Here is a 25,370-nt window from a genome sequence, read left to right as displayed (position 1 = left end):
AATATCATGCCTGAGATATCATGCAGCCATTTAACTTAAAAAAAATGGTTTCTAATAAATGTTTAATTACATGGAATGTGCTTAGAATACGATGTCAAATGAGAAGAATGTAAAACTATCAGCAATACAATGATAGTTAATACTTACATAGCACTTACACATAACACTATCAGCCTGTCTGCTAAAGCACTTTAGGATCACACATAAACTTGGTTAGGCTGATGATCTGGTTCTGCTTTCCTCTTCTGGCTCAGTTCACCCCATTACCTTCCTTTTCTTTGGTGGTTCAGAGACCCACAAGTCCTGTTTTCCCCAAACTTTCCCTGGTGTCTCCCTCTCTGCCCCAAGCCTCTTCCAGCTGCCTAGTGTCTCTAATTCTCCAGCCTCCTTTGCTTGAAGAATTCTCCTTCAGGTTTTAGAAAATCTGCCACAAACCTCCCTAAGGGGAAGTCCATTAGTCAAGACTCCTTCCATTAGAAGTAGCTACTGTACATCCTCTTCTTTTCACCATATAGCATGTCTTCTGGATATGAGTTTTTAATTTTTTTTTTTTGGTGAATCTAAACCTTGCCTTTAAGTATGCTAATACTTCCTGGCTTTGCATATTAATTGCTTTCTATAACTAAACTGCTTTTTGTAAGTAAAAATATATATTAAAGATACCTTTCTATAAGTAAAATGCTTTCTAGTATCAATCAGGACATCCCTCACTCTGGGACGACTTCATGGTTCAACACTCAAAGGACAATATTATTTACAAGTTTTGAAAGATGTCGGTGGGGGGAGCCAAGATGGCCGAATAGTAACAGCTCCGGTCTACAGCTCCCAGCGTGAGCGACGCAGAAGACGGGTGATTTCTGCATTTCCATCTGAGGTACCGGGTTCATCTCACTAGGGAGTGCCAGACAGTGGGCGCAGGCCAGTGGGTGCACGCACCGTGCACGAGCTGAAGCAGGGCGAGGCATTGCCTCACCTGGGAAGCGCAAGGGGTCAGAGAGTTCCCTTTCTGAGTCAAAGAAAGGGGTGACGGACACACCTGGAAAATCGGGTCACTCCCACCCGAATATTGCGCTTTTCAGACCGGCTTAAAAAAACAGCGCACCACGAGACTATATCCCACACCTGGCTCAGAGGGTCCTACGCCCACGGAATCTCGCTGATTGCTAGCACAGCAGTCTGAGATCAAACTGCAAGGCGGCAGCCAGGCTGGGGGAGGGGCGCCCACCATTGCCCAGGCTTGCTTAGGTAAACAAAGCAGCCGGGAAGCTCGAACTGGGTGGAGCCCACCACAGCTCAAGGAGGCCTGCCTGCCTCTGTAGGCTCCACCTCTGGGGGCAGGGCACAGACAAACAAAAAGACAGTAGTAACCTCTGCAGACTTAAATGTCCCTGTCTGACAGCTTTGAAGAGAGCAGTGGTTCTCCCAGCACGCAGCTGGAGATCTGAGAACAGGCAGACTGCCTCCTCAAGTGGGTCCCTGACCCCTGACCCCCGAGCAACCTAACTGGGAGGCACCCCCCAGCAGGGGCACACTGACACCTCACACTGCAGGGTATTCCAACAGACCTGCAGCTGAGGGTCCTGTCTGTTAGAAGGAAAACTAACAAACAGAAAGGACATCCACACCGAAAACCCATCTGTACATCACCATCATCAAAGACCAAAAGTAGATAAAACCACAAAGATGGGGAAAAAACAGAACAGAAAAACTGGAAACTCTAAAACACAGAGCACCTCTCCTCCTCCAAAGGAACGCAGTTCCTCACCAGCAATGGAACAAAGCTGGATGGAGAATGATTTTGACGAGCTGAGAGAAGAAGGCTTCAGACGATCAAATTACTCTGAGCTATGGGAGGACATTCAAACCAAAGGCAAAGAAGTTGAAAACTTTGAAAAAAATTTAGAAGAATGTATAACTAGAATAACCAATACAGAGAAGTGCTTAAAGGAGCTGATGGAGCTGAAAACCAAGGCTCGAGAACTACGTGAAGAATGCAGAAGCCTCAGGAGCCAATGCGATCAACTGGAAGAAAGGGTATCAGCAATGGAAGATGAAATGAATGAAATGAAGCGAGAAGGGAAGTTTAGAGAAAAAAGAATAAAAAGAAATGAGCAAAGCCTCCAAGAAATATGGGACTATGTGAAAAGACCAAATCTGCGTCTGATTGGTGTACCTGAAAGTGATGGGGAGAATGGAACCAAGTTGGAAAACACTCTGCAGGATATTATCCAGGAGAACTTCCCCAATCTAGCAAGGCAGGCCAACGTTCAGATTCAGGATATACAGAGAATGCCACAAAGATACTCCTTGAGAAGAGCAACTCCAAGACACATAATTGTCAGATTCACCAAAGTTGAAATGAAGGAAAAAATGTTAAGGGCAGCCAGAGAGAAAGGTCGGGTTACCCTCAAAGGGAAGCCCATCAGACTAACAGCGGATCTCTTGACAGAAACCCTACAAGCCAGAAGAGAGTGGGGGCCAATATTCAACATTCTTAAAGAAAAGAATTTTCAACCCAGAATTTCATATCCAGCCAAACTAAGCTTCATAAGTGAAGGAGAAATAAAATACTTTACAGACAAGCAAATGCTGAGAGATTTTTTCACCACCAGGCCTGCCCTAAAAGAGCTCCTGAAGGAAGCACTAAACATGGAAAGGAACAACCGGTACCAGCCGCTGCAAAATCATGCCAAAATGTAAAGACCATCGAGACTAGGAAGAAACTGCATCAACTAACGAGCAAAATCACCAGCTAACATCATAATGACAGGATCAAATTCACACATAACAATATTAACTTTAAATGTAAATGGACTAAATTCTCCAATTAAAAGACATAGACTGGCAAGTTGCATAAAGAGTCAAGACCCATCAGTGTGCTGTATTCAGGAAACCCATCTCACATGCAGAGACACACATAGGCTCAAAATAAAAGGATGGAGGAAGATCTACCAAGCAAATGGAAAACAAAAAAAGGCAGGGGTTGCAATCCTAGTCTCTGATAAAACAGACTTCAAACCAACAAAGATCAAAAGAGACAAAGAAGGCCATTACATAATGGTAAAGGGATCAATTCAACAAGAGGAGCTAATTATCCTAAATATATATGCACCCAATACAGGAGCACCCAGATTCATAAAGCAAGTCCTGAGTGACCTACAAAGAGATTTAGACTCCCACACATTAATAATGGGAGACTTTAACACCCCACTGTCAACATTAGACAGATCAACGAGACAGAAAGTCAACAAGGATACCCAGGAATTGAACTCAGCTCTGCACCAAGTGGACCTAATAGACATCTACAGAACTCTCCACCCCAAATCAACAGAATATACATTTTTTTCAGCACCACACCACACCTATTCCAAAATTGACCACATAGTTGGAAGTAAAACTCTCCTCAGCAAATGTAAAAGAACAGAAATTATAACAAACTGTCTCTCAGACCACAGTGCAATCAAACTAGAACTCAGGATTAATAATCTCACTCAAAGCCGCTCAACTACATGGAAACTGAACAACATGCTCCTGAATGACTACTGGGTACATAACGAAATGAAGGCAGAAATAAAGATGTTCTTTGAAACCAACAAGAACAAAGACACAACATACCAGAATCTCTGGGACACATTCAAAGCAGTGTGTAGAGGGAAATTTATAGCACTAAATGCCCACAAGAGAAAGCAGGAAAGATCCAAAATTGACACCCTAACATCACAATTAAAAGAACTAGAAAAGCAAGAGCAAACACATTCAAAAGCTAGCAGAAGGCAAGAAATAACTAAAATCAGAGCAGAACTGAAGGAAATAGAGACACAAAAAACCCTTCAAAAAATCAATGAATCCAGGAGCTGGTTTTTTGAAAGGATCAACAAAATTGATAGACCGCTAGCAAGACTAATAAAGAAAAAAAGAGAGAAGAATCAAATAGACACAATAAAAAATGATAAAGGGGATATCACCACTGATCCCACAGAAATACAAACTACCATCAGAGAATACTACAAACACCTCTACACAAATAAACTAGAAAATCTAGAAGAAATGGATACATTCCTCGACACATACACTCTCCCAAGACTAAACCAGGAAGAAGTTGAATCTCTGAATAGACCAATAACAGGAGCTGAAATTGTGGCAATAATCAATAGTTTACCAACCAAAAAGAGTCCAGGACCAGATGGATTCACAGCCGAATTCTACCAGAGGTACAAGGAGGAACTGGTACCATTCCTTCTGAAACTATTCCAATCAATAGAAAAAGAGGGAATCCTCCCTAACTCATTTTATGAGGCCAGCATCATTCTGATACCAAAGCCGGGCAGAGACACAACCAAAAAAGAGAATTTTAGACCAATATCCTTGATGAACATTGATGCAAAAATCCTCAATAAAATACTGGCAAACCGAATCCAGCAGCACATCAAAAAGCTTATCCACCATGATCAAGTGGGTTTGATCCCTGGGATGCAAGGCTGGTTCAATATACGCAAATCAATAAATGTAATCCAGCATATAAACAGAACCAAAGACAAAAACCACATGATTATCTCAATACATGCAGAAAAAGCCTTTGACAAAATTCAACAACCCTTCATGCTAAAAACTCTCAATAAATTAGGTATTGATGGGACGTATTTCAAAATAATAAGAGCTATCTATGACAAACCCACAGCCAATATCATACTGAATGGGCAAAAACTGGAAGCATTCCCTTTGAAAACTGGCACAAGACAGGGATGCCCTCTCTCACCGCTCCTATTCAACATAGTGTTGGAAGTTCTGGCCAGGGCAATCAGGCAGGAGAAGGAAATAAAAGGTATTCAATTAGGAAAAGAGGAAGTCAAATTGTCCCTGTTTGCAGACAACATGATTGTTTATCTAGAAAACCCCATCGTCTCAGCCCAAAATCTCCTTAAGCTGATAAGCAACTTCAGCAAAGTCTCAGGATACAAAATCAATGTACAAAAATCACAAGCATTCTTATACACCAACAACAGACAAACAGAGAGCCAAATCATGAGTGAACTCCCATTCACAATTGCTTCAAAGAGAATAAAATACCTAGGAATCCAACTTACAAGGGATGTGAAGGACCTCTTTGAGGAGAACTACAAACCACTGCTCAAGGAAATAAAAGAGGATACAAACAAATGGAAGAACATTCCATGCTCATGGGTAGGAAGAATCAATATCGTGAAAATGGCCATACTGCCCAAGGTAATTTACAGATTCAATGCCATCTCCATCAAGCTACCAATGACTTTCTGCACAGAATTGGAAAAAACTACTTTAAAGTTCATATGGAACCAAAAAAGAGCCCGCATCGCCAAGTCAATCCTAAGCCAAAAGAACAAAGCTGGAGGCATCACACTACCTGACTTCAAACTATACTACAAGGCTACAGTAACCAAAACAGCATGGTACTGGTACCAAAACAGAGATATAGATCAATGGAACAGAACAGAGCCCTCAGAAATAACGCCGCATACCTACAATTATCTGATCTTTGACAAACCTGAGAAAAACAAGCAATGGGGAAAGGATTCCCTATTTAATAAATGGTGCTGGGAAAACTGGCTAGCCATATGTAGAAAGCTGAAACTGGATCCCTTCCTTACACCTTATACAAAAATCAATTCAAGATGGATTAAAGATTTAAACGTTAGACCTAAAACCATAAAAACCCTAGAAGAAAACCTAGGCATTACCATTCAGGACATAGGCGTGGGCAAGGACTTCATGTCCAAAACACCAAAAGCAATGGCAACAAAAGCCAAAATTGACAAATGGGATCTCATTAAACTAAAGAGCTTCTGCACAGCAAAAGAAACTACCATCAGAGTGAACAGGCAACCTACAATATGGGAGAAAATTTTCGCAACCTACTCATCTGACAAAGGGCTAATATCCAGAATCTACAATGAACTCAAACAAATTTACAAGAAAAAAAACAACCCCATCAAAAAGTGGGCGAAGGACATGAACAGACACTTCTCAAAAGAAGACATTTATGCAGCCAAAAAACACATGAAAAAAATGCTCATCATCACTGGCCATCAGAGAAATGCAAATCAAAACCACTATGAGATACCATCTCACACCAGTTAGAATGGCAATCATTAAAAAGTCAGGAAACAACAGGTGCTGGAGAGGATGTGGAGAAATAGGAACACTTTTACACTGTTGGTGGGACTGTAAACTAGTTCAACCATTGTGGAAGTCACTGTGGCGATTCCTCAGGGATCTAGAACTAGAAATACCATTTGACCCAGCCATCCCATTACTAGGTATATACCCAAATGACTATAAATCATGCTGCTATAAAGACACATGCACACGTATGTTTATTGCGGCATTATTCACAATAGCAAAGACTTGGAACCAACCCAAATGTCCAACAATGATAGACTGGATTAAGAAAATGTGGCACATATACACCATGGAATACTATGCAGCCATAAAAAATGATGAGTTCATGTCCTTTGTAGGGAAATGGATGAGACTGGAAACCATCATTCTCAGTAAACTATCGCAAGAACAAAAAACCAAACACCACATATTCTCACTCATAGGTGGGAATTGAACAATGAGATCACATGGACACAGGAAGGGGAATATCACACTCTGGTGACTGTGGTGGGGTGGGGGGAGGGGGGAGGGATAGCATTGGGAGATATACCTAATGCTAGATGACGAGTTAGTGGGTGCAGTGCACCAGCATGGCACATGTATACATATGTAACTAACCCGCACAATGTGCACATGTACCCTAAAACTTAAAGTATAATATTAAAAAAAAAAAAAAGAAAGATGTCTCACTGCAGCTTCCATATCTTACCCATAAGACTGAAACATGCATGGTATTGATCTCTAGGCTAATATTAGAAGCACTGAAATTTAAAATCCAGGGCCTAGAGTGGCACAATAATGACTTTATTTCAATTACTTCTCTTCTGAACTATTTTTGGTAGTAAAATAAGTTACTTAATATTCTACTTGTAAACATGCAATCAGTATAATTTGATTCTTAAAAGCTAATTTGTTGTAGGCACAGCATTTACTAGCCTGGAAAATAGCCTTTGCCCAATCAGCAAGCAAAGATATTTAAAATAAATATAGTAGAGAAAGATGGCATGAAAAATTTAAGAAATAAAAAAAGTATTGACTTTGCAAAGTAAACATTTTCTAAAAATTAGATTCAAATTTAACAAATAATATACAAGGTTTATGGAAATTATATCTTATTGTCAAGATGATTAAAAAATCAGGCATTGTATGGATTGTTTTTAAGATTTTGAAAGATAGGTTTAATTGGCCTCATGCTGTCTTTATTAGGGCTTATTATTCAGGAAATTAAGTCTTTTCTCTCAAAGAATAAAGGTTTTCACCTGTTTTTGAAATCTTTATGTTATCCCTTTGGTTAAATGAATGACTTATTTTGCAATGACCTGTGATCTTATTTCATGATATCAAGTGTTTTAAACTTTTTATATTTGACACACTTTCTAAAGTCAAATTCTAACTTGGGTCCTCATTAATTTTTTGCTATTAGTCCCCAGAAGTGCAAAAGAGACATATTTGGCTTATTGGTATAGAAATCATACAGGAAGCATTGTCAAATATGAAATGGTGTTTGGTATTCTTTGGGCTATATCTGTATAAAGGTTATTGGTATGTGTTCCCAAATTATGGGAAACTCCTATAATTTTAATATGACTTAGTGTATGTTATTAATAATTATAATTATTATGTAAAACTGTTGTATGCCACAGAAGTAAAAAATTGCTAGTAAAATGTGGTTTTAATAATGGCTGTCCTAAGACTTCTCTTGTTTTGATCCTCTTCAAAAGGTGGTTTATAATCAGCTGTAGGACTTTGATAGGTGCTCTTGAATGCAGGTTTTTTAATAACTTTGGAAATTGTGACATTAGAATACAGGAAAAAACTTTCAGGACTCTCAGAGAGCTGAAATGTTCACGAATATCAAACAGGACCAGAGTTAAGTGCATGGACTGAGTTAAAAGAAGACTGAAGTAATCTTTTTGACTTTTTGCTTAAAATGTTGCTGATCTTTTGTTTTGTTTTTCAGAGTGAAGAAAACTTCTTTTAAGCTATTTACAGCTTTTAACAATTGAGTAAAGTATACTCCTGTAAACAAAATTTGGAGCATATTTCTCTCTGCCTGATTTCTCCAGAATTTGGAAACTATTTGTGAGTTTTCTTAACTTATGGCAATATAGTTATTTGTGTAAGTGCAATAAGAATGTTTTCTTTTGCAACAGGACACAATTGGAGAAACTGGTTGTTTTACCAAGGCTTTGAATAGAATAGCATGCTTTCCTTTAAGGAATCAAGCTTAACCCATACAGCCAATAAAAGCCCTTTGGGGAAAACTGGCCTCATACCATGTCCTCACGGTCCCCGTAGAGGGCTCCTAACCTGTGGTAAGTAAAGAATGTCACATTCTAACAGGCCCAGGAGGCCCAAGTTATCCTGGGACCTCAAGAGGAGAGGAAATTACACAACTCATAGGTATTTGAGGATACAAACTTATGGCTGGGCTCAGCTAAAAATAAATAAATAAATAAATAAAAAGTCTTATCTGAGATTCCTTGAGTTTCATCAAAGCCAATTTTAAAAGCCTATTTGAAAAATAATTATCCTTGCTGCCCTATATACAAATAATCAGGCCAAGCATAAGACTAAAGCTTATTTTTGCAAACAAATTGGTCCTATTATGATTTGTTTTTAATAAAAATGGAAGACTGGAGAAAGAAAAACTATGTTTCAAAATGAGCTATAGTACACCTGTTATTAGATTCTAGTCTTGCCTAATGTTTTTCAATTTTTATTATTTTCTACAGTTTGGACTGAATTATAAAGTTTTTCCAGGCTACAAGTCTCCAAAATAATGTTTTTAATTTAATTTTTATTCTTTCTTTTATCTTTTTTCCCCTATTTTTCCTACGTTGAAATCACTGAAAACTAAGCTGTGCTTTCTTTAAAGCCCTGCAAACTGAAGCTAGACAACTTAAGCTTTAGAAGAAAATAACAGCAACCTATTTACATACATAAGCCACTTCAAAGTAATATGGCCTATATTGATTTACCAGGATTGTTCTGTTTTTGTTTGTTTTCTCTCTTCCTCCCCCTATTTTCTCTTTGATAGGACATGAGACTTCACAACCTGCTAAAAATGAGCTTTCCTCATAATGTGGGACCTACCCATCTAGGAATTAATCATACTAGCCATGAGAGATCAGACAAAACCTGAGACCAGACTCATTTTTCTTCTAAAATGCTTTCTCCAAAAGATTTTAAAAAGAAAAGGGTGGAAATGTGAAAGGAAAATAAATAAATCTTGGGACTTCAAAATCACTAAGCTAAAGAGAAAAGTCAACCTGGGAACTGCTTAAGGCAAACCTGCCTCCCATTCTATTTCAAAGTCATCCCTCTGAGGCTCAGCTGAGACAAATGCATATCTGATTGCTTCCTCTCCCCCTACTGTTTATGTAAAAATGCAGATTCACTGAGCCAGACTAAATTGTGTATTTAGTGGAAGGCTGATCAAGGACTCAAAAGAATGCAACCTTTTGTCTCTTATCTACTTCTAACCTGGTGTTGTCTCACCTTACCAGACCAAACCAATGCACATCTTACACATTTTGTTTGTGTGTTTAAGACGCAGTCTTGCTCTGTCACCAGGCTGGAGTACAGTGGTGCAATCTCGGCTCACTGTAACCTCTACCTCCTGGGTTCAAGAAATTCTCCTGCCTTGCCTCCCAAGTAGCTGGGACTACAGGCATGCACCAACATGCTCAGCTAATTTTTTTAATTTTTTGGTAGAGATGGAGTTTCACTGTGTTGCCCAGGCTGGCCTTGAAATCCTGGGCTCAAGTGATCTGCCCGCATCTGCCTCCCAAAGTGCTGGGATTACAGGTGTGAGCCACTGCACCCAGCCCATCTTACACATATTAACTGATGTCTCATGTCTCCTTAAAATACATAAAAGCAGACTGTATCCCCACCCACCTTGGGCACATGTCTCAGGACTTCCTGAGGCTGTGTCAGGGATACGTCGTTAACCTTGGCAAAATAAACCTAAATTGACAGAGACCTGTCTCAGATATTTTGGATTCACATTATATAATATTTGAAAATCAAATTAAGGTGTTTGTAGGTTATTTTTCACTTGTTTAATATTATTTTTACTCTTTAGTATCATAGCAGGTAAAGATAAAAGATCAAAGATTTAAGCTATAAATTAGTTTTGTATTATCTGGGTGACATTTGTATCTTATATAAGCACCGATTTAAGTATCTAAAATTTTAATTTTTTTTGAATTCCTGGAAATCTAAAAAGTGTAGTGTTAAAGTCCCTCATGTTTCCAAAGCTTTTTACATACTTAAATTCATAGTAGTTTAATCAGACGTTCAAGGTGTTTTGTCATAACCAATTTGGGGTTTTTGGGTTTTTTAATGGGAAATAAACTAAGGAAGTTGTTTCCTAACTTAGTCATTCCGGGGTTCTCTCTAAGTCATCCCCATTCTGATGCTCTTGTTTCCATTATATATTTCTCTGGCAACAACTGAAGGAATTTATCTAACTTGTTTACTCCCCTCTGAGATTAAAAGGCTTGCAAAATACATTACAGTAGTATAGATTTTTATTAATTTATGACTTGTAAAGACCTTTATTCCCCAGCCTCAACTCATTATTTACTTGGCTATTGGATCTTTCTAACCAGTGTTAAGTACAAAGATTTTTTTTGATTGGCTTCTAAAGCCAAAGCAATTCCCCTAACAAAACCAAATTGCTACGTGAACAAGAAAAGATGTGTTATAAACACCATAACACCTCTAGCGTTCTCTCTTCCTGCAGGTTAGACAAATCCAAAAGTGCTTTCAAGGTATATCCCTCTGGTAACTTAGAGTAATTGGACATATTGGGAAATAACTGCACTTAGTGGAGCTATAGTGATAATACAGTCCAGCTAACTGCAACTCTGGGATAATTTTAAAAGAGAAAGATGAAAATATCTCAGCAACCTCAGCTTTTCTGTTTTTTTTTTAATAAATAGAAACTAGTTTCTTAACCAACAAAATAGGGATTGTTACCTGTGCCTCTTTTCTGTCACAGGTAACAACATGGATTCAATTTAAATAAATCTGTAATATCATTGCAGAGATTTGTTACACATAAAAATTTTTTCTTATTTAATTTATTTTTCTCATTAGTGAAGTGGGAATTGCCAAGATTCGACATCACAGTTCTTTCCTAGGTTAATTGTCAGCTGCTCTTCCTGCTGCCTGCTACTTATTTCCATTCTTTGTTTTTGTTGTTCTAGTCATTGTATGTAAATTTCAACCTTTCTTTAATCCTATACTTCCTAGACTGGCATTAAATTAAAGCTTTGGCCTTTGCCAAAATTTAAATCCAATTCATCGAATGAAATCTTTCTACCTATCCTCATCACAGGTAGGCCAACATAATTTTTCTGATAACAGTTAAATTTTATATTTATTTTCAAACCCTTTCCTCGGGGACTTATGATTCTTCTGTGAACGCTGCTCTTGCCTGCCATTTCAAAATATCAAAAGAATGTTGGGGACTTCTGCAGGTCTTTATCTTGTGGCTATCAGGCAGAACTGTAATTAAGCCTTTCTACTATCATCTGCGAATGTCCTCCTAGCTTCTGTGTTACCATTCTGAAGTTCTTCAGCAGCTTCCACGTACTAACCTAGCTGAGTCACCTTATTATTTAGTAGAAAATCTACACATCCCACTCATCCTGCAGTTCCTTCTTGTGGAAACAAGCAATCTCAAGTTTTTACCCTAAAAGTGTTTTTTTTATTTGTAAGAGGATGTTTTCTCTTCAAATTTAATATGATGATGCACAGGACTGGGTGTGAGCTAAACGGTGAAGTGAGCAAAACTTATTGACCTCTCCCTTTTCAATGCCCTGCCTTCCCCTCAAGTATATAAAGAGATCTCACATAAGCACAGTCAAAAAATTTATCATGAAAGTTAGAATCTTGGACTTGCCCTTTTGCTGTAGTCACTCATTAATGAGTGGAGGCAGTTGTAGTCAGAAATTATTTTCCTACCCTATTTTTTCCAGAATTCACCTTTTTCTTTCTTTTCTGTATTGTTAAATTCTTCCAACCATTGATGATCAACAACATCTTACAAAGGAAGTTAGCAGATATTATATATCCTTGAAATAAATAATTTTCAATGAGATACTGGCTTCTATTTTGCTTATTGGTTTGAACATGACTGAGGATTGCCTGACTCTGTGCCTTGAGGAGGACTCAGAAATGCTATTATAACGTCAAAAACTGCAATTACTTTTGTACCAACCTAATAAATGTAGCAGTAGCTCTATTGAGCAATTTGATTTTCTACATTGTAGGAACAAAAGCAGTTGTATAAAATTCTAGGCTCATTATTTTAAATAAAAACGTCTTTCTATTTAAAGGGACACAGGTGGCCTTTTATGCCATTGAGTTCCAATTACCCTATCTTCTGCTGAGATCTCAATGAATTCCTTTAAAATCTTTCTGAAATAAACACTGATATTACTATTAATAAATAATTTGGCAGCCTAATTCATAAAAGCTTTGAGCAAATGTTTCTGAAAGGACGTTAAGGCTATTTAGAAAAGTAGTTCCCAACTTCTTTATAAATTTAGTACAAAACCCATCAAAATACCATTTGTCTTTTTAAGATTGGACAGAGTGATTTGAAAGTTTATTTGGAAACTTGAATGCTACTAGACTAGCCAAGAAACTTTGAAAAAGAAGCATGACAGGAGAGGGGAGATGGAGTCTTGTTTAATCAGATATTAAAATAAACTGTATAGCTACAGTAATTCTTAAAGTATATTATTAGCTTAAAATAAACAAATGGATCAATTTAACAAAACACAGAGTCCAAAACAGACCACAATATATATAAGAATTTAGTTTATGACTAGTGACATTTTAAATTGTCAAGAGAAAAACGGATTAGCCAATAAATATTTGACAACTGACTCATTATTTGGAAAATAAAAAAGACAGATCTCTACCTCACATTTTATACCAAAATTAAAGCTCCAGGAGTATTAAAGATTTAAGTATAAGAAAAATGCATTAGAAGAAAATATCGACAACTACATAATTACCTAATACATTTATTTATAGGTATGCAAATATATAAATATAGGTAACTATATTATATTAGGTAATTATATAGCTAGGTAATTATATAATTAGATAACCATAGGTAACTATAACTAATTACTAATACTTCGAACTATATTAGAAAATATAGTTAAAAATTAACTATATTAGGGCCAGGTGCGGTGGCTCACGCCTGTAATCCCAGCACTTTGGGAGGCCAAGGCAGGCTGATCACCTGAGTTCAGGAGTTCGAGACCAGCCTGACCAACATAGAGAAACCCCATCTCTACTAAAAATACAAAATTAGCCTGGCGTGGTGGCTCATGCCTGTAATTCCAGCTACTCAGGAGGCTGAGGCAGAAGAACCGCTTGAACCCGGGAGGCGGAGGTTGCGGTGAACCAAGATCATACCATTGCACTCCAGCCTGGCCGACAAGAGCAAAACTCCATCTCAAAAAAAAAAATTAACTATATTAGAAATCAGAAATTAACTATACTAGAAAATATAAACTATACTGGAAAATACAGTTACCTATATTTTCTTCTAATGCATTTATTTTTTATACTTGAATCTTTTATCTTTATATCTTTTGGTGAGGGGAAAACTTTCTAAGTGTGAAACCAAAAGGAGAAACCACAAAAAAAGAAACTTCTACAGTTGAAAATTAGTCACATACAAGATTTATTTGTTTGTTTCTCTGTATTTCCTAATTTTCCTATAATGAACTGATAATGAACTATAATGAATTGAAAGGAAGATTTTCTTTTGGGGGAGCAAGGATATCTTCTAAGACGAATATAGCAGACCATGCTGAGCCAGCCCAAATCCTGTTTTGCTTACAGGCAGAATAAATGTTTGCATTATCTTTAAATTTGCTTTCCTTCTCAGTATTTCATATATAATTTATGCTTTTCTCCTAGATAACTGTGCCTTACTGCTAATTTACTTACCCTTTTTCATTTATATCATCTGCCTTTACAAAAGAGAACATCAAATACAGGCTTGTTGTTTATTATACCTATACAACTGTATTATTTTATTTGTGCCAAGCAGCTCTACTAATATTTGCCCTTCTAATTTTTATCAAAAATTCTGCTTCTAAGAACCCTTCTCTTTGCTCCTTCCCCCAGCCCCTTCTAAAACTCCAGAATATCAATAGATATTCAAAGCCCCAGGATAAATATGCTTTATCTTCCTGGAGCATCAATTTTACTCAGATATGAGAGGGAGAAGATGCTATTATTAGAGTAAAGCAAGTCATTATATTATGCAGTCAAATTGAAAATTCTCATAATTTTAAAAATAAATTGGAACTTCAGATAATTTAAAGCTCATTAGGCTTAAAGCAGGCCTTTCTACTCTAGCCCTTAGAATTCTGGAGACACAGGCTCCTTTCTCTCACATAGTTGGCCCTCCATATCCATGGGTTCTGCATCTGTAGATTCAACCAACCATGGATCAAAAATATTTGGGAAAAAAAAGCATCTGTAATGAACATGTACAGACTTTTTTTCTTGTAATTACTCCCTAAACAACACAGAATAAGAACTACTTACAGAGCATTTACATTGTACTACATATTAACCTAGAGATGATTTAAAGCAGGGGTCCCCAACCCCTGGGCCATGGACCAGTGCTAATCTGTGGCCTGTTAGGAACCAGGCTGCACAGCAGGAGGTGAGCAAAGGGCAAGCAAGCATTACTGCTTCCGCTCCACCTCCTGTCAAATCAACACTGGCATTAGACTCTCAAAGGAGCATGAACCCTATTGTGAACTGCGCATGTGAGGGATCTAGGTTGTGCTTTCCTTACGAGAATCTAATGTCTGATGATCTGAGGTGGAGCAGTTTCACCCCAAAACCATCCCTCCCACCCCCGACCTGCAAAATTATCTTCTATGGAACTGGTCCCTGGTGTTAAAAACAGATGGAGACTACTGATTCATGGCATATAAAAGGGCCAGGCACAGTGGCTCATGCCTATAATCCCAGCACTTTGGTAGGCTGACACAGGTGGATCATTTGAGGTCATGAGTTTGAGACCAGCCTGACCAACATGGTGAAACCTCACCTTTACTGAAAATACAAAAAACTTAGCCAGGCATGGTGACCACTGCCTGTAGTCTCAGCTACTCGGGAGGCTGAGGTGGGAGAATGGCTTGAAACAGGGAGGCAGAGGTTGCAGTGAGCCAAGATTGCGCCACCATACTCCAGCCTGGGCAACAGAGCGAGACTCTGTCTCTAAATAAATAAACAAATAAATAAAATGGAAGGATATGTGTAGTTACATGCAAATACTATGCCAGTTTATATCAGAGACTTGAACATCTGAGGACTTTGGTATCCACAGGGGGTCTTCGAACCAATCTCAATGAATACTGAGGGACAACTGTATACATTTAAGGATTCTCTGGTGGAAAAGTTTGAGAAGCAGGGCTCTAAGACACCCCTTTAATTGCTCCTTGATTAGCCATTAATTCCTCCCCAACCTGTGGAATGAGCCCTCACCCTCAGAGTGTAGACTCAGAAGGGTGCCTTTCACACAGCCATCTTTTTCTTTGTACGTCCTGTACAGAACAATTTACAAGCAATGGTATTCTTTTAAACATTGGCATTTGAAGCATGCATAACCCGAAACACAAAAGTTTAAAAAGAAGAAGGTGGTTATGGAACACAACTTAAAGACCAATCAATTGCTTTAGCAATAGGTCCTCTGTACAGAATGAGCCCTAGGGGTAGTCCAATTAGAGTCTACAATCACTACCAGAGACTTGCTTTTTTCAAGATCCATTCCAAACGTTGGAGCCTTAAATTGTAATGAAATTCAGTAGAATAAAGATATACTATGGAAAATCTTGGCAAAATAGTCTAATATTAGACTAGTTTAGACTCTTGTCATTTATAGAGGGAAAAAAGTTCAGTGTCCTAAGTCAATTTAGTATGTACACAAGAACACATTTCCCTTTAGGCCATTCAGATTTCCTATAATGAAAACAGTTTCAACTGTAAAAATTAACCTAAAATATTGAGAGGCTGACCCATGAGAAAGGAAATGGCTAACTGGTGAAACCAATTTTCCTCTGATGTAATATTTACTTGCTTGATTTTGTTATTTAAATATTCTATTATATTCCTAACCTTCAAGACATTCCTTAAATGCAATAAAGCCACAGACTTGCTTTCTCAATAGCTAGAACACTGGCATCCATTGCTAGGTAGTAGAATCATTGGAACGGAACATGCATATTTAACGAAGGGTACAGCAATGTTTAAATATCACATCAAAGGCTCACTTTCAAATACAAACAATTTTCTCTTCCCATTCTAGTGACATTTGAACTATTTTTATTTTGGGCTCTCCACTATATCTAATTTGGTTAAAATCAATGCAAGAGACCAAAATCACCTCATTTGAAAGCAGCAGGAAGTCACTGATCACGTAAAATCTTGCCTTACCAATAGCATGCATTTGGGAAAGGTGTACTGAATTGATTTGTCAATTTGACAAAATATATTTATGAGAGGGGCAGAATGAGGATATTTCTTTGCAAGTAAGCAGCCTCATCTAACTATAATGGACCTCCTTCACTCAATAGTGACAAGAACACAAAACTTGAATCAACAAACCAACTAATTCTGTTGCTATGTTCTAAAGTCAATATGAAATAAAATTTTGGAGCAGTATCTAAGCTAAATCTGGAAAAATAACCAATTTTTATTTAGCACAGTGCGTTGTATAGAGAAGGCAATCAATGAATGTTTTATGACTGTGACAGTGACAATATTTTGCCAATGTTTCTCAAAATATGCTCCTTTGATCACACACATGCAGTGCTACCCCATTCAATTCATTCATGGAATATTTGCTATGTATTCTAGGCACTGGGGATACAGTAGAGAGCAAACAAGACAAAAACTCCTACTTTTCTGGAACTTAGTTTCTAGTTGGAGTGGACAAAAGATAGACAACAGGTAAGTAAAGGATATAATATGTTAATGGTAAGTGCCTAAGATAAATTCAAAGCAGGAAGAGGGTATTAAATGTTGAAAGGGAGTTAAAAATACAGATAGGGTAACCAGGGGAGAGCTCCTGGGAAGGTAACTTTTGAGTAAAGATGGAAAGTGATAATGTAAGTCATGCAGATATCTGAGGGAAAAGCATCCTAGACAATAGTGGAAGCATGTGCAAAGACCCTGAGTCAGGAAGTTCAAGGAACAGCAAAGGGGCCAATGATGCTGGGCATGTGAAGATAAGAAATAAAAGGGCAGATCACAAAAGTCCCCACAGGTCATGATGAAGACTGTTTTCTCTATTGAAAGAGATAGGAAGCGATTAGTGTTTTCAGCAGAGGAGTGACATGACCTGACTTGTGTTTTAACAGGTCTGCTCTGGCTGCTCTGGAGAGCAGACAGCAGGGGAACAAGGACAGAAGCAGAAAGAGGAGCTACTTGTTTTAAAATGCAGAGCCTGGAACTTGTGTTTTTAACAAGCTCTCTACATGATTCTTAGGCACAAATTTATGAACTGCAACTTTACCTAAGCAATTGAGATAAAAATTGATTTTACAATCTGATTATTTGATAATCACTAATCAACTTCCAGTGGAGAAACTGGGCCTAAGTCATTTGTACTAAATTCAGCTAACAACCTGTCATTTTGGCCATGCAATCTCCAAACAGAACTTCAGGAAGAGAACTTTCAAGGAATCTTGGCCCCCTTGTTCTGTGACACAGGATACCCTCTGAGAGATCTCCTCTACAGAGAAGGAAATGAGAGCTAATGCAATCACACAGTGGTGATGTATTTGATAAGGTCACAGAACAGGTACCCCATAATATGAGAAGTTTTAGGATGCAGCTAAAATAGAGCATATGGGTGGGGACTTTTCTCAATTTTTTTAACACAAAGATTTTCATTTTATTTTTACATGGAAGCAAGTAAGCACTTGTGTGTCATTCTAAATACATACATAAATCCTAAATTTATATTCTAAGTTTATATATTCTATATATAAATTCTTGATAAATTCCATTTATATCTATAATGTATATTCTAGATTTGTTTATATGTGTATCTCACAATAAAATTTATAATTAGTACTTTTTAATACACTATAGAAATTCATATTCACAACAGTTTTAACAATTCTTTGCAATTGAGTTTTATAATGGTAACAACTAGCATTTGTATAACACTTGATGTTTGAGAAATAATAGGACCTAGTTCCACAAACCATAAACATTTATTTCTACTTTATAGTCACACTACACACATATAAATCCCAATATTTTAACTAGTTTGCAATCTGGTCAATACATCTTCTACTTATTTTTTCTATTTCTTTTATATGCCTCAATTATTTTATATGCCCTTCTGAACTCTGTACACAGTAGACACACAGATAAATTCTTAACTGACCACTGACTAGCCAATATAGAGTCATGCAAATATTTGGTTCAGATAATAAGTTATCAAATACTTGGTTCCTCTATTTATTTGATATGGGGTGACCCACCCCCAATATTTCAACATAGGTTCTTTCTATTTTCCCTAAGTGTCAGCTGGCTGAGAAATAAAGAGAAAGAGTACAAAGAGAGGAATTTTACAGCTGGGCCTCCAGGGGTGACATCACATATCAGTAGGATGGTGATGCCCACCTGAGCCGCAAAACCAGCAGGTTTTTACTAAGGACTTTAAAAGGGGAGGGGGTATACGAATAGGGAGTAGGTCACAAAGATCACAAGCGTCAAAGGGCAAAAAGGAGAACAAAGATCACATGCTTCTGAAGCCAACAAAGATCATAAGGCAAAGAGCAAAGCAAAGATCACAAGGCAAAGGGCGAAATCAAAAACTCCTGATAAGGGTCTACTTTCAGCAGTGCACGTATTGTCTTGATAAACGTCTTAAACAACAGAAAACAGGGTTCGAGAGCAGAGAACCGGTCTGACCTCAAATTCACCAGGGTGGGGTTTTTTCCTCACCCTAATAAGCCTGAGGGTACTGCAGGAGACCAGGGCGTATTTCAGTCCTTATCTCAACCACATAAGACAGACACTCCCAGACCGGCTGTTTATAGACCTCCCCCCAGGAATGCATTCCTTTCCCAGGGTCTTAATTATTAATATTCCTTGCCAGGAAAAGAATTCAGTGAGATCTTCCCTACTTGCAGGTCCATTTATAGGCTCTCTGCAAGAAGAAAAATATGGCTCTATTCTGCCCAACCCCGCAGGCAGTCAGACCTTATGTTTGTCTTCCCTTGTTCTCTGAAAAATCACTGTTATTCTGTTCTTTTTCAAGGTGCACTGATTTCATATTGTTCAAACACACATGTTTTACAATCAATTTGTACAGTTTAACACAATAGTGGTCCTGAGGTGACATACATTCTCAGCTTACGAAGATAACAGGATTAAGAGATTATGGTAAAGACAGGCATAAGAAATTATAAAAGTATTAATTTGGGGAACTTATAAATGTCCATATTAAAATGAAATCTTCACAATTTATGTTCAGAGGTTGCAGTAAAGACAGGCATAAGAAATTATAAAAGTATTAATTTTGGGAACTGATCTATGTCCATATTAAAATGAAATCTTCACAATTTATGTTCCTCTGCTGTGGCTCCAGCCGGTCCCTCTGTTCAGGGTCCCTGACTTCCTGCAACAATTTGACTTCTTTGACTCCATCCAAAATCAAAATTTTAAAAATTTCAAGAGGATAAACTTTAATAACTGGAAGGAACATAAATATATTTAAAGCAGATTTACTGAACCAATGATTTAATTTTCATGAGAATAATTACATCCTGCTGCTATTTTTCCTTCAGCACAATTTCCCTAAGGTATTTCATCATTAACGGCCTGATTCAATGTGAATTTTTAGTGAGACACATAGTGAACTGAATTTTTAAAAAGCATTCATTGTTAACAGTATTATCACCCAGGTACAAGTTATTCTTTTGGATAGAGTTCAGGTAATTGGTAACAAATAATAGATACTGATTACCTTCTTGAGTGGAAGAAGCCTCTAAGTGTTGAAGCTTAAGGCCAGTGTCTAATCTTTGAGGTTTCGTATACAGAAATAAATAGCAAAGGACACAGACACTGATGACAAAGGCGAGTAAAACAAGGGCAGCAATTCCTAGTCCAATCAAGGCACCAATGCTGAGGAAAACAGAAAAAAAATATGTGTCACACAAAGTGGTTCACACTGGTTCAACTAAAGAGAAGGCATAAATATATTGTTAATTCTTGTTTTCAGTTATTCATAACCAAATTGTATTTTAGCATAAAAAGGAACTGATTGAAATCTACAGTTCACCTTTATCCACCACCAAATTCTTATATTTTCTCTGCAGGATTTTCGAGGCCCTTTTAAATTTACACATTACTTTTTTTTTTTTTTTGAGATGGTGTCTCACTCTGAAGCCCATGGTAGAGTGCAATGGCACAATCTTGGATCACTGCAACCTCCGCCTCCAGAGCTCAAGTGATTCTCGTGCCTCAGCCTCCCGAGTAGCTGGGACTACAGGTGCACGCCATCATGCCCAGTTAATTTTTTGTATTTTAGTAGAAACGGGGTTTCACCATGTTGCCCAGGATGGTCTCGAACTCCTGAGCTCAGGCGATCCACCCGCCTCGGCCTCCCAAAGTGCTGGGATTACAGACGTGAGCCACCGCTCCCGGCCGGCCTGTACGTTACTATTAATATGGAAGACCACGTGTTCATATTATAGGTTAAAGGTCACATGATTCTCTAGGGATAATTCTAAAACATCTCCATCAAATAAATCTCTATTATTAATATACTTTAGAAGGAAAGATTGGGTTCACCAACAAATGATGAATAGAAAAATATTTGTTTCTGCAAAAGCACTAAAGACATATGTGAAATGCCATTTGTTGATTTACAAAGCCAAAACTATTATAAAAAAGGAGAAAGCAATTTGAATTAAAGGAAAATCGTATTTGTGAAATTCATATCAAGTTCATGTTCAGTTTGACTTTTCCTTTCTAAAAGGGCATAATGTCAATGGCTTCTAGCATTAAGGAAGAAGCCCGTGTATTTTTCTCTAAAAATAAATGTGTATCTGATTGTATTTGCTCCACCCTAAATTTGTAATGATTCCGTCTGATGCAGTTACCTCTAAGTCTAATCATTTGAGAAATACAGTTTTCATAAGCCTGTGAACTTAATACCACTAAATGGGAAAAGAGCTTGGGAAAAAAAGCATTATCTTGAAAGACTAATATGCTAACATGTACTTCTTGAACCACATTTTGTTCTAATTAAAATCTACCAATAGATTTTAACCTATAAATAGATTTTAATCAATTCTACTCAAAAACAGATACTTCTGTCAACTTTCATGGTAGTGTTGTACACACTTATTTAAAGCATTTGAGAACTTAGCTTGTAGAAAATGTTCAATAAATGTAAATAAATAATAATTGACTGCCAATTGATCTACCTGTATTTGGAACATACGTCATTGAAAAGTAATGATCTTTTTCTTCATTATCTTCCTGGCTTGCCTTTAGGCTTCTGCTCTTTCTCTGGGATTAGGACACTGACAAGTTTGACCTGTACCAAAAGGGAGGGAAGGGAGAATTTGACCAGGGATGCCAGGAGCATTGTTGCTTTGGGAGGAAGGAGAACAGAACTGAAAGTGAAGAGCTAAGCTCACTCCACTTGTCCTTGATTTCAGGAGGTAGAGCACCCCTGCAAAGAAGAGATTGCCTCCTGAAGCACACACTTGAAGTCGACTTCCAGAGATTCTTGTGCTTGGTTTATTGTCAACCCAGTTCCACTAGCCCTGTAGATGAGTGAAGGCTGGGGAATTTTATGGCTAGAGTCACTGTAGAGTGACTCACTGTAGAGTTATATTTCAACTTGGGGTTTGCTCTCATCTAAAAGGTAGACTCCCTATATTTGGCGACTCCTCTTTTGTACTTGTTTGCACCAAACCTAACTTTTGTGCATTTTAAGTGTCAGGGAAGGTTAGGATCACTTCACCATACACAGACACATGGGAATGTAATCCACTCAGTTAATATTATCTGGTGCACAGAGCAGATAAGAGGCTAGACATCTGGAAAGATTCTTCAAACAAGAACCTGATTAAAAAATCTTCAAGGTAAAAATGTAATTTAGTCTATTTGAAAGCAAAATTGTTAGTTTAATTAACTTCCACATACATAGTGTGGGCTTTCAATCTACAAATTATAAAACCAGACCATTCAATTTGAAAGAAAAACAAAAACAAAGCATGCCATCCATGCTTTCTGTTAAAAAAGAATGTTCTTCATAATACTGACAAACAGTTTCAATGTCACCGTTCACTTTATAGAAATGTTGCTTTATGGCTGGGCGCGGTGGCTCACGCCTGTAATCCTAGCACTTTGGGAGGCTGAGGCGGGCGAATCACGAGGTCAGGAGATTGAGACCATCCTGGCTAACATGGTGAAACCCCGTCTCTACTAAAAATACAAAAAATTAGCCAGGCATGGTGGCAGGCGCCTGTAGTCCCAGCTACTCGGGAGGCTGAGGCAGGAGAATGGCGTGAACCCGGAAGGCGAAGGTTGCAGTGAGCCGAGATTGCGCCACTGCACTCCAGCCTGGGCGACAGAGTGAGACCCCGTTTCAAAAAAAAAAAAGGAGAAGAAATGTTGCTTTATGCATGCAAAACTCTAGGTATTAACTCTCAGAAAAGATGGAGCTCCAGGAGACTCCTAAAATATTCATTTCAATAAATACTTATTAAATAGCCACTCGTGCATGGCCCTGTCCAATAGACCTTATTTCCCTAAGTCCTGGAGAAGGTTACCAAGGAAAATCCTAAGAACATAGGGAGTCATAGGAGGAGAAAAGATGGGAAGGGGCCAGACACAGGAAAGGAAGAATTATCCTTTCCTCAGCACCCTATGGCAGTTGTTTTACAAGCTTTGAGAGAGGGTCTGAAGCTGCTGTCACATTAATGTGGCAATTCTCCTACTTAGGAAGTTCACTTACCTTGTGATAGCCACAGCTGTGCCTTTCTCCTGCCACTATAGAATCTCAAAACAAGGGCTAGTGACTCTTCCCAGTTGGACTATTTTAAATTAGGAGTGGAGAGCAAAGAATAGGGGGCAAATGAAGCTCTAATAAATTTACCTCCCTATTGTGTTCTCAGAGCTCAATAACTCACAGGAACCCCAGGTTTAACACTGCCAAATGACAACATCAGTTGAAGTGATTTTTCTATTTCCTGGGAATGGAGCTGCACTGTCCATTTTGTCAGTACTGAATGAAGACCCCAGCAAGCTGTTCACTCTTTTGTGCCCTCATACATCTTAGGAAGGTTTTATGTCCTCTATTGCTTGTCACTTTGGAACTATTCAAGGATCTGAGAATCTCAGGCACATTTTCCAGTTGAGTTTGACTGAGGAATTGCCAGTCCCTGTTGGAGGTGCTTCTGCCATTAGTAACGCCTCCAATGACCCAGAGATAGATTACTCTGTTATTTTCCAAAAGGCCAGATAATAAACCAGTGCAATATAGATTTCTTCCCCATGTAATCTACTAAGGATAAGCTATCATTATTTTCTGACATTTTGCCCCTGTCCAGCAAAATACAATTTTGTCAGTTAAACTTACTGGAAGGTAGGCACTCCTTTTGAGACTTTTTGATGCTTGCAATATAGAAAAATATGTTAATATTTTATTGCTTCAAGAAGTAACATTTAGTCATTTGCTATAGACTTGGCATGTGTGTTAAATTCTGGGTCATGTAGGAGACTGGGAGACATAATCACAATACTTTACCTCTTACTAGCAGACTCCATCTCCTCCAACCCCATAAACTAATGAATATGTACAAAACAATTTAAGGTGGGAGCTCGTTCCTTGATTGTTGAACCCCATTCATTCTTCAAGCAAAATGAAAAATCAAGTTTAAAGTTTGCAGCCCTTCAGAGTGGAAGTGGGAAAAGCAATTCATAATGAAAATGTCTACATCAATACTAGTTGGAATAAGTAAAATAAAATTGCCACTATGGGAAAAAGAAACAAGAAAGACCTCACCTTAGAAAGTCTCTTCACATTCCAGCAATAGCCACATGGCTCGGGTTTCAAGAAAGGGGGTGTCCTGTTCTACAGAGTGTGTGTATAATCATAGCAACCAAAAGCTGTACCTTTCTTGGTGTCGCTTCAATTCTCTCCAGGGTAGGGGTCAGATCCTCCAAAAAGTGCAAGTCGTAAAGCCCAGTTGCTTGCACAGGCCCTCAGGAACACACACACACACACACACACACACACTTTTAAAAATATACATGTATTTTAAAGAACACAGCCAATTCCTTCACACCCCTCAAAGAGTCTTAAAATACTCTGGTCCTTGTTAATGCAGTAAGAAGAGCCCCATAGGAGCCTCCTTTCTCTTCAAATACACCAGATAAACCAAAAAGAGGATTTTAAACCTTCCCCTTGGGTTATCTTCCTGTCCTCGCGCTCCACCAGTAGGGCTATCAGCCTGGGACTGGTCCCGGCGAGGGGAGAGCAGTCGGCTCCCGGGAGGCGGGCGGGGAACTCAGCGGGGCCAGCCAGGCGGGCCCCAAGTGCGCCCTGGGCGCAAAGCCCGCGCTCCTCCAGCGTGCGCCTCGCCTCCTGTCCTGGCTCCCGGGGGAGCTCCGAGCCGGGGCGAGATTTCTCTCCCTGCCCTCACCCGCCCTCAGAGGCTCCGCGTCCTTCCGTAGGGACCTAACCTAGGGCGGATAGCGGGGACGCGGGGGAACCTCCCTGGCCCTGGCGTGGCTCCGCTTGTCGCCTCCCTAGCCCCGGGCTCGGCCAGCCGCCGCACGCGCGGGCTCTCAGCCCACCTGAGGCTCCACATGTAGCTGTGCTTGTAGGGGAAGTAGCTGCCCGGCTCGCTGCAGCAGTACTTGAGGTCGGCGAAGCCGCAGCAATACTGGAGCGCTGCCCCCTCGCCGCGCCGGGGGCACTGGAAGGGCTCCACGAAGCTCTGGTTGAGGCTGTAGTAGCCGGAGCACAGTCGGCTGGCCTCGCTCATCGCGGGCAGGGGCCGGGAGAGGCTCGCGAGGGCCCCGGTCTGCTCTCGGATCGCACCCGTCCAGCACCTCCAGAGCCCGCGGACCCCTCTGCCCGGACTCGGCTCTTCCGATCTGGGCTCTGGCTGCCTGGGCGCTCAGCCTTCGCGCGC

General features: G+C 38.9%; 1 protein-coding gene across 1 annotated transcript in view, besides 4 other annotated features; it reads right to left on the bottom strand.

Annotated features, from left to right (window-relative positions):
- SHISAL2B (shisa like 2B) overlaps positions 1-25,341 on the bottom strand; it is a 27,688-nt gene extending 2,347 nt beyond the window's left edge. The window contains exons 1-2 of the mRNA NM_001164442.2: positions 25,030-25,341; positions 20,180-20,337 (exon numbers count right to left, since the gene is read on the bottom strand). Of these exons, the coding sequence (NP_001157914.1) occupies positions 20,180-20,337; positions 25,030-25,220 (349 nt within the window). The 5' untranslated portion in view covers positions 25,221-25,341. The remainder of the gene's footprint in view (positions 1-20,179; positions 20,338-25,029) is intronic.
- Positions 473-1,076: an enhancer, noted in NCBI's record as "OCT4-NANOG-H3K27ac-H3K4me1 hESC enhancer chr5:64010595-64011198 (GRCh37/hg19 assembly coordinates)". NCBI's record gives its function as "activates a minimal SCP1, AML or CMV promoter by ChIP-STARR-seq in naive H9 embryonic stem cells {active_cell/tissue: H9 hESC(naive)}" and the evidence as "EXISTENCE:reporter gene assay evidence [ECO:0000049][PMID:30033119]".
- Positions 8,865-9,636: an enhancer, noted in NCBI's record as "OCT4-NANOG-H3K27ac hESC enhancer chr5:64002035-64002806 (GRCh37/hg19 assembly coordinates)". NCBI's record gives its function as "activates a minimal SCP1, AML or CMV promoter by ChIP-STARR-seq in primed H9 embryonic stem cells {active_cell/tissue: H9 hESC(primed)}" and the evidence as "EXISTENCE:reporter gene assay evidence [ECO:0000049][PMID:30033119]".
- Positions 9,637-10,410: an enhancer, noted in NCBI's record as "OCT4-NANOG-H3K27ac hESC enhancer chr5:64001261-64002034 (GRCh37/hg19 assembly coordinates)". NCBI's record gives its function as "activates a minimal SCP1, AML or CMV promoter by ChIP-STARR-seq in primed H9 embryonic stem cells {active_cell/tissue: H9 hESC(primed)}" and the evidence as "EXISTENCE:reporter gene assay evidence [ECO:0000049][PMID:30033119]".
- Positions 24,870-25,370: an enhancer, noted in NCBI's record as "H3K27ac hESC enhancer chr5:63986301-63986801 (GRCh37/hg19 assembly coordinates)". NCBI's record gives its function as "activates a minimal SCP1, AML or CMV promoter by ChIP-STARR-seq in primed H9 embryonic stem cells {active_cell/tissue: H9 hESC(primed)}" and the evidence as "EXISTENCE:reporter gene assay evidence [ECO:0000049][PMID:30033119]".

Source organism: Homo sapiens, chromosome 5 (genome assembly GCF_000001405.40).
Source record: "Homo sapiens chromosome 5, GRCh38.p14 Primary Assembly".
NCBI lineage: Eukaryota > Metazoa > Chordata > Mammalia > Primates > Hominidae > Homo > Homo sapiens.
The sequence above is the reverse complement of the archived record's forward strand: the minus strand, read 5'-3'. Positions and strand labels throughout refer to the sequence as shown.